The sequence below is a fragment of the Homo sapiens genome, chromosome 7 (assembly GCF_000001405.40).
Source record: "Homo sapiens chromosome 7, GRCh38.p14 Primary Assembly".
Lineage (NCBI taxonomy): Eukaryota > Metazoa > Chordata > Mammalia > Primates > Hominidae > Homo > Homo sapiens.
The window spans coordinates 141915059-141927159 of NC_000007.14; the positions used below are offsets into that span (position 1 = coordinate 141915059).

Below are 12101 nucleotides of genomic sequence, written 5' to 3' on the forward strand. Positions count from 1 at the left end.
CTGGGATTTCTTTTATGGATTTTGTCCATTCTAGAGCATGTTACATTAGGACCATACATTAAGCATATTTTGGTGTCAGATTATTTTATGCAGTGTAATGTATCTGAAATTTGTTTATGTTGTATACATCAGTACTTTGTTACTTTTTTCCTGACCATTATTCCCTTATATAAATACGTAGTTGACTCTCATTACTGGGGTTAGTTATGTCTTATAAAGTCGCTGGGATCACTGAATTAGCAAGTAGTGAATCATTGCTGAATAGTATTTCCTCATATGAATATCAAATTATCTTGTTGATGGGCATTTATTTTCTGTCATTAGTAGCTATAATAAATATACAATGAACATGATAACAGAAATATTTGTGAGGACATGTTTTCATTTGTATTAGGCAACTGCCTAGAAATAGAATTGGTAGGTCACAGAGTAGATGTATATTTAAGTTAATAAGAAACCAATGTTTTCCCAGGGGTTTTTATTATTTTACATTCCTTCCTACTGCTCCATTTTCTACTCTGCCACTGTATAGTTAATAACCCTGGAAACATGTCTGGAGAAACCGAACCATGCCTTGACTTAGGGAATTTGGATCTGTAATTTGCTTTCTCAGACAAAGGTTCCATCCTCCTCGGACTTCCTCATTTCTCAGCACCCTTCCTTCACAGTTCTCCACCTGTCATAACATGACTCAGCACAGCCACCTGGGCAGCTGTCAGCACAGTTCCCATGACTGAGAAGCCACAGTTGGAATGTCTGCATGTTGCAAACAGTGGAATGGGTGTAGCATGAACAGTCCATGAGGTTGAAGCAGGTGGCAGACCCTGTCTATTACTCACTTAGCAGGGTTCCCATAACTATGGGCAGAGGATTTCTGATAGGAGTGCAGAGATCATCTGGAAACACGTGCTTCATAATACTTGGAAATGAAGAGAAAATTTTTGATAAAATTCCATTTGGTGGCCTCTAGAATTTTGCTCTGTGCCTAGGAGTCACTAGTGGGGCCATCATGGCGAGCGGGGAGCTTAGGCTCCACAGGGCCACGTGGAATCAGGGAGAGGCATGGAGCAGTTCAGGGGGCTAACCATTCACAGCCTGGGTTGCATGGTGATAACTCAGAGCCTGAAGGAAGGCAACCTGGAGTGTTGAGAGGTTCCTCATGAGGGAGATTTCAAGTTTGCCCATTAGACAACTTTTCGGTGTTCTAAAACTTGATTAACCTCAGGAGGGAAGGGTGAATGTTTTTGGCAGCTTTTCCTTGACAGCATCCCTGGTGTGTCTCTGAACTTGTACAAATTGTTCCTCAGTGAATACTCATCCTTGGAGACAGATAAGGGAGTGAGAGAAGGAAGCAAAGAGAAGGAGAGAGATAGAGACAGTTGGACTCTCTCCTCAGCACTCGTATTTCTGGACTTTTGCATAAGCTTCTGTATGAGGACAGTATCCTTCACTCTGAATGGAGACAGAAGCAGCTGTTCCTGTCTCCTGAGCATAGCTCAGCACTAGGTGAGCGAGAGATAGCCTGGGCTGGTCCCTGGGGAGCAGTAGAACTTTCCAGTCCAGGCTGCTTCTCCGGAGGTGAGTGTCTTCCAGAGGGGGTTCCTTTCTGTGAAGTAGACAGTAGGAGAGCATCATGATGGGAGGGCCGGGGCTTGGCTGCCTCCTAGAACAAGGATACCTAGAGCCTGAAGACTGGACAGTGGGAGTTGCATAGAGGATGAGCTCTACAGCAAAGCCTGTCTCCAGAGCAGAGGGCAGAATCATTTCTTCTCTGCCCTATGCTGGCGAGAGGCACAATGCTCTGCCACTACCCAAGTCCCTGCTCTCTCATTTCTCCCCATTCCTTCCATATATCTGCCTGCCACATAGTAGGGGAGCTCCAGGGAGAGAGATTGCAGGTTGACTTTATGTTGCTTCAGAGAAGAATGAATGGAGAGAAGAGTCAGGCTGTATAGTCCTTGTTCATTCACTGATTTTTTTTCTTTAATCTATTCATTGATATATTCATTTAAAATACAGAGTGCATACTCTGTTCTAGTGTCAGACTCTGTTCTTGGCACTGGTAATACAAGAGAGATGAAGTGAACGAGAAAGAGAAATGACCTACCTATGAAGTATTTAATTAAATATTGGATTTTGATGATAAATTAATAAACAAGTAATAGTATAATGTGACTGGAGATATTGGTGAGGATAATTAGTATGAAAAATGTAGCCTAACACAGGTTTGAGAGGAAGGTGTGCCTGTATTGTTTTAGAGAAGCTGAGTGGGAAGGGGCCCATAAAGAGGAAACATTTGAGCAAATACCTGAATGTGGTAAGGGAAGGAGTCCAGACATTCTAAGGAGTTCAGAGTGATCCATTTTGGTGTCTTCTGACACTTTTTGTTGCCCCAGGACTCTGGAGAAAACAGGTGGTCACGGAGGAGCAGATCTGCTCTGTGGACCTTCCAAGCTGCTCTAACAGACTGAGACCATGGCAAGTTGGATGCAGGCACAGACTTCCCATTGGGAGGTCTTGTCTCTCTGCTGAAACTGGGGTGTTGAGAACTGGGAGATGCAGAGGATAAGTTACCTCCACACCACAGCTGTTTTCTTGTCTCCTGGCCCTAGGGTGGAGGCTGTGTTGGGAGTTGAGAATTAAAGTTCCAGCCTCTTCACTCCTGGACTTCTCCTCCTCCTCTTTGTCATCTCATAACAAGAGGAATCAAAATCTCAGAGCTAGAAATTGTTAACTGGGAGCTGATCAGACTCTGTCTGCGTGGGGGAGACACAGTCACTTAGATAAGAGGTGGGGATGGCTTTCATTATAAAAATAAAAGAGGAAGAAGTGGGTAATCCACTCAAGGGAGCTGGTATCCCAGAGGTCAGGGAAAAACTCAATACTTTGTCTTAAAATGGCTCTTACCTTGTGACAATGTCCTGGATAGACCTCACTTCCCGACATCACCCCCCAAAATGGTAAATATAACTGAAGTGAAAACTTTTAAATGAACATAATGCAAATGGAGCCTGTGTTTAGAGGATACAGAAGAAAAAAGTAACCATGCCTGTGTGAGATTGGCTAGGAATACTTTATTTATTTATTTTTTGAGACGGAGTCTCACTCTGTTGCCCAGGCTGGAGTGCAGTGGTGCGATCTCAGCTCAAGCAATTCTCCTGCCTCAGCCTCCTGAGTAGCTGGGATTACAGGCGCGCACCAACATGCCCAGCTAATTTTTGTATTTTTAGTAGAGACGAGGTTTCACCATGTTGGTCAAGCTGGTCTCAAACTCCTGACCTGGTGATCCGCCTGCCTTGGCCTCACAAAGTATTGGGATTACAAGCGTGAGCCACCGCACCCAGCCAGGAATACTTTCTTATAATTGTTTAGATGCATTAGGATTTGCAAGATGGAGACATAATAGGCAGAGAAGGCAATTTAGTTCCACCCAAGATGATAGAGGTGCTGGTGTAAGTGAACACATTGTGATCATGGAAGCAGACAGGGTGGCCGGTGAGAGCAGAGTTGGAGGCAGATGTCCAGTGTATTGAGAAAGAGTGCATACTAGGGTGGGTGGGTTTTCATGTTTACCATTTGGTATTCATAACTGGATTTCATCTTCTTGAACATATACATTTATCTTCAAAAGATATATATTCTTCATGAAGTATTTGACATCAACATCGTGTAGAAAATAGTAGAGTCAGGTTATGGAGTTGAGGAGCAGGAGAGGAATGTTTTTTCAACCTGAAATGTCCTTAATCTTTTTAGGATAAGCGGTTGTTCTCTCTCTTTTGCTCTCTAGATTTCACAAGGAACAAGGGCTTAGAACTAAATGTTGATGAATTACTCTAGTGCCACTGAATTTTATCTCCTTGGCTTCCCTGGCTCTGAAGAACTACATCATATCCTTTTTGCTATATTCTTCTTTTTCTACTTGGTGACATTAATGGGAAACACAGTCATCATCATGATTGTCTGTGTGGATAAACGTCTGCAGTCCCCCATGTATTTCTTCCTCGGCCACCTCTCTGCCCTGGAGATCCTGGTCACAACCATAATCGTCCCCGTGATGCTTTGGGGATTGCTGCTCCCTGGGATGCAGACAATATATTTGTCTGCCTGTGTTGTCCAGCTCTTCTTGTACCTTGCTGTGGGGACAACAGAGTTCGCATTACTTGGAGCAATGGCTGTGGACCGTTATGTGGCTGTCTGTAACCCTCTGAGGTACAACATCATTATGAACAGACACACCTGCAACTTTGTGGTTCTTGTGTCATGGGTGTTTGGGTTTCTTTTTCAAATCTGGCCGGTCTATGTCATGTTTCAGCTTACTTACTGCAAATCAAATGTGGTGAACAATTTTTTTTGTGACCGAGGGCAATTGCTCAAACTATCCTGCAATAATACTCTTTTCACGGAGTTTATCCTCTTCTTAATGGCTGTTTTTGTTCTCTTTGGTTCTTTGATCCCTACAATTGTCTCCAACGCCTACATCATCTCCACCATTCTCAAGATCCCGTCATCCTCTGGCCGGAGGAAATCCTTCTCCACTTGTGCCTCCCACTTCACCTGTGTTGTGATTGGCTACGGCAGCTGCTTGTTTCTCTACGTGAAACCCAAGCAAACGCAGGCAGCTGATTACAATTGGGTAGTTTCCCTGATGGTTTCAGTAGTAACTCCTTTCCTCAATCCTTTCATCTTCACCCTCCGGAATGATAAAGTCATAGAGGCCCTTCGGGATGGGGTGAAACGCTGCTGTCAACTATTCAGGAATTAGCCTTGCTCTGAGGACTTTTACATGGTAAAGCACTTAGTATGGATTCTAGAATAATCTGAAAAGAACTTGCTCATCTTTGAACTGCATCATAATTATTGCCATTATCAAATGATTTGCATGCAACAAAATACTTTTAAGTTACAGCTACGGTTTTTAGTATGCTTAGTTGTTACTTGAAACTCAGTCTATTATTTTTAAGACATGTCTTGCTATCTAGCTATCTATCTATCATCTGCCTTTCTTAAGATATGATGATTTCACAATTAAACTTTGAAAAATTAAATGTCAGAGATAGACTATCTATATAGTCTAGAAAATAGACTAGTGGTTGCTTAGGGCTGAGGGGAATGCAGACATAGGGTAGTGATAGCTATGGGGTACAGGCTTTCTTTTTGAAATGATGGTTGTAAATATCTATGAATATACCAAAAATCATTGAACTATACATTTTCAATGAGTCAACTTTATGGAATGTGATTTATATTTCAATAAAGCTTTTGAAAATAGTATATTAGATCATGAAGAAGTATTGTGAAGAAAAGTGAAACAGGAATGAAAGGGAATATCTCTTGCAGGAGTGTTGAAATTTCAAATAAGGTTTTCAGGGAAGGATTGAGAGAGGTAAGGTGGTGATACATTCGGAAACTTGTTAAAGAACATTCCAGGCATAGTGAGTAATAAGTGAGAGATCCTAGGGAAGGCATAACAAAGATGCTGAAATGGAGTGTGCAGAGGAGAAAGCAATGGCAGTCAGAGTGGTAACTGGAATGCAGACCATGTAGAGCCTTGTGAGCCTTTTTTTTTTTCCAGGTATGCAAAAAGATAATATTATTTTACTATTTTTTTCTTTTTTTTTTTTCTTTTTTTTTTTTTTATTATACTCTAAGTTTTAGGGTACATGTGCACATTGTGCAGGTTAGTTACATATGTATACATGTGCCATGCTGGTGCGCTGCACCCACTAATGTGTCATCTAGCATTAGGTATATCTCCCAATGCTATCCCTCCCCCCTTCCCCGACCCCACCACAGTCCCCAGAGTGTGATATTCCCCTTCCTGTGTCCATGTGATCTCATTGTTCAATTCCCACCTATGAGTGAGAATATGCGGTGTTTGGTTTTTTGTTCTTGCGATAGTTTACTGAGAATGATGGTTTCCAATTTCATCCATGTCCCTACAAAGGATATGAACTCATCATTTTTTATGGCTGCATAGTATTCCATGGTGTATATGTGCCACATTTTCTTAATCCAGTCTATCATTGTTGGACATTTGGGTTGGTTCCAAGTCTTTGCTATTGTGAATAGTGCCGCAATAAACATACGTGTGCATGTGTCTTTATAGCAGCATGATTTATACTCATTTGGGTATATACCCAGTAATGGGATGGCTGGGTCAAATGGTATTTCTAGTTCTAGATCCCTGAGGAATCGCCACACTGACTTCCACAATGGTTGAACTAGTTTACAGTCCCACCAACAGTGTAAAAGTGTTCCTATTTCTCCGCATCCTCTCCAGCACCTGTTGTTTCCTGACTTTTTAATGATTGCCATTCTAACTGGTGTGAGATGATATCTCATAGTGGTTTTGATTTGCATTTCTCTGATGGCCAGTGATGATGAGCATTTCTTCATGTGTTTTTTGGCTGCATAAATGTCTTCTTTTGAGAAGTGTCTGTTCATGTCCTTCGCCCACTTTTTGATGGGGTTGTTTGTTTTTTTCTTGTAAATTTGTTTGAGTTCATTGTAGATTCTGGATATTAGCCCTTTGTCAGATGAGTAGGTTGCAAAAATTTTCTCCCATGTTGTAGGTTGCCTGTTCACTCTGATGGTAGTTTCTTTTGCTGTGCAGAAGCTCTTTAGTTTAATTAGATCCCATTTGTCAATTTTGTCTTTTGTTGCCATTGCTTTTGGTGTTTTGGACATGAAGTCCTTGCCCACGCCTATGTCCTGAATGGTAATGCCTAGGTTTTCTTCTAGGGTTTTTATGGTTTTAGGTTTAACGTTTAAATCTTTAATCCATCTTGAATTGATTTTTGTATAAGGTGTAAGGAAGGGATCCAGTTTCAGCTTTCTACATATGGCTAGCCAGTTTTCCCAGCACCATTTATTAAATAGGGAATCCTTTCCCCATTGCTTGTTTTTCTCAGGTTTGTCAAAGATCAGATAGTTGTAGATATGCGGCATTATTTCTGAGGGCTCTGTTCTGTTCCATTGATCTATATCTCTGTTTTGGTACCAGTACCATGCTGTTTTGGTTACTGTAGCCTTGTAGTATAGTTTGAAGTCAGGTAGTGTGATGCCTCCAGCTTTGTTCTTTTGGCTTAGGATTGACTTGGCAATGCGGGCTCTTTTTTGGTTCCATATGAACTTTAAAGTAGTTTTTTCCAATTCTGTGAAGAAAGTCATTGGTAGCTTGATGGGGATGGCATTGAATCTGTAAATTACCTTGGGCAGTATGGCCATTTTCACGATATTGATTCTTCCTACCCATGAGCATGGAATGTTCTTCCATTTGTTTGTCTCCTCTTTTATTTCCTTGAGCAGTGGTTTGTAGTTCTCCTTGAAGAGGTCCTTCACATCCCTTGTAAGTTGGATTCCTAGGTATTTTATTCTCTTTGAAGCAATTGTGAATGGGAGTTCACCCATGATTTGGCTCTCTGTTTGTCTGTTGTTGGTGTATAAGAATGCTTGTGATTTTTGTACATTGATTTTGTATCCTGAGACTTTGCTGAAGTTGCTTATCAGCTTAAGGAGATTTTGGGCTGAGACGATGGGGTTTTCTAGATAAACAATCATGTCATCTGCAAACAGGGACAATTTGACTTCCTCTTTTCCTAATTGAATACCCTTTATTTCCTTCTCCTGCCTGATTGCCCTGGCCAGAACTTCCAACACTATGTTGAATAGGAGCGGTGAGAGAGGGCATCCCTGTCTTGTGCCGGTTTTCAAAGGGAATGCTTCCAGTTTTTGCCCATTCAGTATGATATTGGCTGTGGGTTTGTCATAGATAGCTCTTATTATTTTGAAATACGTCCCATCAATACCTAATTTATTGAGAGTTTTTAGCATGAAGAGTTGTTGAATTTTGTCAAAGGCTTTTTCTGCATCTATTGAGATAATCATGTGGTTTTTGTCTTTGGCTCTGTTTATATGCTGGATTACATTTATTGATTTGCGTATATTGAACCAGCCTTGCATCCCAGGGATGAAGCCCACTTGATCATGGTGGATAAGCTTTTTGATGTGCTGCTGGATTCGGTTTGCCAGTATTTTATTGAGGATTTTTGCATCAATGTTCATCAAGGATATTGGTCTAAAATTCTCTTTTTTGGTTGTGTCTCTGCCCGGCTTTGGTATCAGAATGATGCTGGCCTCATAAAATGAGTTAGGGAGGATTCCCTCTTTTTCTATTGATTGGAATAGTTTCAGAAGGAATGGTACCAGTTCCTCCTTGTACCTCTGGTAGAATTCGGCTGTGAATCCATCTGGTCCTGGACTCTTTTTGGTTGGTAAACTATTGATTATTGCCACAATTTCAGAGCCTGTTATTGGTCGATTCAGAGATTCAACTTCTTCCTGGTTTAGTCTTGGGAGAGTGTATGTGTCGAGGAATGTATCCATTTCTTCTAGATTTTCTAGTTTATTTGCGTAGAGGCGTTTGTAGTATTCTCTGATGGTAGTTTGTATTTCTGTGGGATCGGTGGTGATATCCCCTTTATCATTTTTTATTGTGTCTATTTGATTCTTCTCTCTTTTTTTCTTTATTAGTCTTGCTAGCGGTCTATCAATTTTGTTGATCCTTTCAAAAAACCAGCTCCTGGATTCATTGATTTTTTGAAGGGTTTTTTGTGTCTCTATTTCCTTCAGTTCTGCTCTGATTTTAGTTATTTCTTGCCTTCTGCTAGCTTTTGAATGTGTTTGCTCTTGCTTTTCTAGTTCTTTTAATTGTGATGTTAGGGTGTCAATTTTGGATCTTTCCTGCTTTCTCTTGTAGGCATTTAGTGCTATAAATTTCCCTCTACACACTGCTTTGAATGCGTCCCAGAGATTCTGGTATGTGGTGTCTTTGTTCTCGTTGGTTTCAAAGAACATCTTTATTTCTGCCTTCATTTCGTTATGTACCCAGTAGTCATTCAGGAGCAGGTTGTTCAGTTTCCATGTAGTTGAGCGGCTTTGAGTGAGATTCTTAATCCTGAGTTCTAGTTTGATTGCACTGTGGTCTGAGAGATAGTTTGTTATAATTTCTGTTCTTTTACATTTGCTGAGGAGAGCTTTACTTCCAACTATGTGGTCAATTTTGGAATAGGTGTGGTGTGGTGCTGAAAAAAATGTATATTCTGTTGATTTGGGGTGGAGAGTTCTGTAGATGTCTATTAGGTCTGCTTGGTGCAGAGCTGAGTTCAATTCCTGGGTATCCTTGTTGACTTTCTGTCTCGTTGATCTGTCTAATGTTGACAGTGGGGTGTTAAAGTCTCCCATTATTAATGTGTGGGAGTCTAAGTCTCTTTGTAGGTCATTGAGGACTTGCTTTATGAATCTGGGTGCTCCTGTATTGGGTGCATAAATATTTAGGATAGTTAGCTCCTCTTGTTGAATTGATCCCTTTACCATTATGTAATGGCCTTCTTTGTCTCTTTTGATCTTTGTTGGTTTAAAGTCTGTTTTATCAGAGACTAGGATTGCAACCCCTGCCTTTTTTTGTTTTCCATTTGCTTGGTAGATCTTCCTCCATCCTTTTATTTTGAGCCTATGTGTGTCTCTGCACGTGAGATGGGTTTCCTGAATACAGCACACTGATGGGTCTTGACTCTTTATCCAACTTGCCAGTCTGTGTCTTTTAATTGCAGAATTTAGTCCATTTATATTTAAAGTTAATATTGTTATGTGTGAATTTGATCCTGTCATTATGATGTTAGCTGGTGATTTTGCTCATTAGTTGATGCAGTTTCTTCCTAGTCTCGATGGTCTTTACATTTTGGCATGATTTTGCAGCGGCTGGTACCGGTTGTTCCTTTCCATGTTTAGCGCTTCCTTCAGGAGCTCTTTTAGGGCAGGCCTGGTGGTGACAAAATCTCTCAACATTTGCTTGTCTATAAAGTATTTTATTTCTCCTTCACTTATGAAGGTTAGTTTGGCTGGATATGAAATTCTGGGTTGAAAATTCTTTTCTTTAAGAATGTTGAATATTGGCCCCCACTCTCTTCTGGCTTGTAGGGTTTCTGCCGAGAGATCCGCTGTTATTCTGATGGGCTTTCCTTTGAGGGTAACCCGACCTTTCTCTCTGGCTGCCCTTAACATTTTTTCCTTCATTTCAACTTTGGTGAATCTGACAATTATGTGTCTTGGAGTTGCTCTTCTCGAGGAGTATCTTTGTGGCGTTCTCTGTATTTCCTGAATCTGAACGTTGGCCTGCCTTGCTAGATTGGGGAAGTTCTCCTGGATAATATCCTGCAGAGTGTTTTCCAACTTGGTTCCATTCTCCACATCACTTTCAGGTACACCAATCAGACGTAGATTTGGTCTTTTCACATAGTCCCATATTTCTTGGAGGCTTTGCTCATTTCTTTTTATTCTTTTTTCTCTAAACTTCCCTTCTCGCTTCATTTCATTCATTTCATCTTCCATTGCTGATACCCTTTCTTCCAGTTGATCGCATCGGCTCCTGAGGCTTCTGCATTCTTCACGTAGTTCTCGAGCCTTGGTTTTCAGCTCCATCAGCTCCTTTAAGCACTTCTCTGTATTGGTTATTCTAGTTATACATTCTTCTAAATTTTTTTCAAAGTTTTCAACTTCTTTGCCTTTGGTTTGAATGTCCTCCCGTAGCTCAGAGTAATTTGATCGTCTGAAGCCTTCTTCTCTCAGCTCGTCAAAATCATTCTCCATCCAGCTTTGTTCTGTTGCTGGTGAGGAACTGCGTTCCTTTGGAGGAGGAGAGGCGCTCTGCGTTTTAGAGTTTCCAGTTTTTCTGTTCTGTTTTTTCCCCATCTTTGTGGTTTTATCTACTTTTGGTCTTTGATGATGGTGATGTACAGATGGGTTTTCGGTGTAGATGTCCTTTCTGGTTGTTAGTTTTCCTTCTAACAGACAGGACCCTCAGCTGCAGGTCTGTTGGAATACCCTGCCGTGTGAGGTGTCAGTGTGCCCCTGCTGGGGGGTGCCTCCCAGTTAGGCTGCTCGGGGGTCAGGAGTCAGGGACCCACTTGAGGAGGCAGTCTGCCCGTTCTCAGATCTCCAGCTGCGTGCTGGGAGAACCACTGCTCTCTTCAAAGCTGTCAGACAGGGACACTTAAGTCTGCAGAGGTTACTGCTGTCTTTTTGTTTGTCTGTGCCCTGCCCCCAGAGGTGGAGCCTACAGAGGCAGGCAGGCCTCCTTGAGCTGTGGTGGGCTCCACCCAGTTCGAGCTTCCCGGCTGCTTTGTTTACCTAAGCAAGCCTGGGCAATGGCGGGCGCCCCTCCCCCAGCCTCGTTGCCGCCTTGCAGTTTGATCTCAGACTGCTGTGCTAGCAATCAGTGAGATTCCGTGGGCGTAGGACCCTCCGAGCCAGGTGTGGGATATAGTCTCGTGGTGCGCCGTTTCTTAAGCCGGTCTGAAAAGCGCAATATTCGGGTGGGAGTGACCCGATTTTCCAGGTGCGTCCGTCACCCCTTTCTTTGACTCGGAAAGGGAACTCCCTGACCCCTTGCGCTTCCCAGGTGAGGCAATGCCTCGCCCTGCTTCGGCTCGCGCACGGTGCGCACACACACTGGCCTGCGCCCACTGTCTGGCACTCCCTAGTGAGATGAACCCGGTACCTCAGATGGAAATGCAGAAATCACCGTCTTCTGCGTCGCTCACGCTGGGAGTTGTAGACCGGAGCTGTTCCTATTCGGCCATCTTGGCTCCTCCCTCTCTTTTTTTTAAAATTATACTTTAAGTCCTAGGGTACATGTGCACAATGTGCAGGTTTGTTACATATGTATACATGTGCCATGTTGGTGTGCTGCACCCACTAACTTATCATTTATATTAGGTATTTCTCCTAATGCTGTCCCTCCCCTCTCCTCACACCCCACGACAGGCCCTGGTGTGTGATGTTCCCTGCCTGGTGTCCAAGTGCTCTCATTATTCAATTCCCACCTATGAGTGAGAATATGTGGTGTTTGGTTTTCTGTCTTTGCGATAGCTTGCTCAGAATGATGGTTTCCAGCTTCATCCATGTCCCTACAAAGGACATGAACTCTCATCCTTTTTTGTGGCTGCATAGTATTCCATGGTGTATATGTGCCACATTTTCTTAATCCAGTCTATCACTGATGGACATTTGGGTTGGTTCCAAGTCTTTGCTATTGTGAATAG

At 42.3% G+C, this 12101-nt stretch overlaps 1 protein-coding gene across 1 annotated transcript, besides 1 other annotated feature; it reads left to right on the forward strand.

The window, feature by feature from the left end:
* Positions 198 to 398: a silencer, noted in NCBI's record as "peak6800 fragment used in MPRA reporter construct". NCBI's record gives its function as "represses an SCP1 promoter by STARR-seq MPRAs in K562 erythroleukemia cells {active_cell/tissue: K562}" and the evidence as "EXISTENCE:reporter gene assay evidence [ECO:0000049][PMID:32103011]".
* On the forward strand, positions 1341 to 5567 carry OR9A4 (olfactory receptor family 9 subfamily A member 4). Its single transcript, NM_001001656.3, has 2 exons — positions 1341 to 1578; positions 3788 to 5567. The coding sequence occupies exon 2, from the start codon at positions 3818 to 3820 to the stop codon at positions 4760 to 4762; it is 945 nt and encodes a 314-aa protein (NP_001001656.1). The 5' UTR covers positions 1341 to 1578; positions 3788 to 3817; the 3' UTR covers positions 4763 to 5567.
* The last annotated feature ends 6534 nt before the right edge of the window (positions 5568 to 12101 follow it).

Excerpts from the sequence above, each read along its gene's own strand:
- OR9A4 (NM_001001656.3), top strand. The coding sequence starts at position 3,818 with ATGTTGATGAATTACTCTAGTGCCACTGAATTTTATCTCCTTGGCTTC.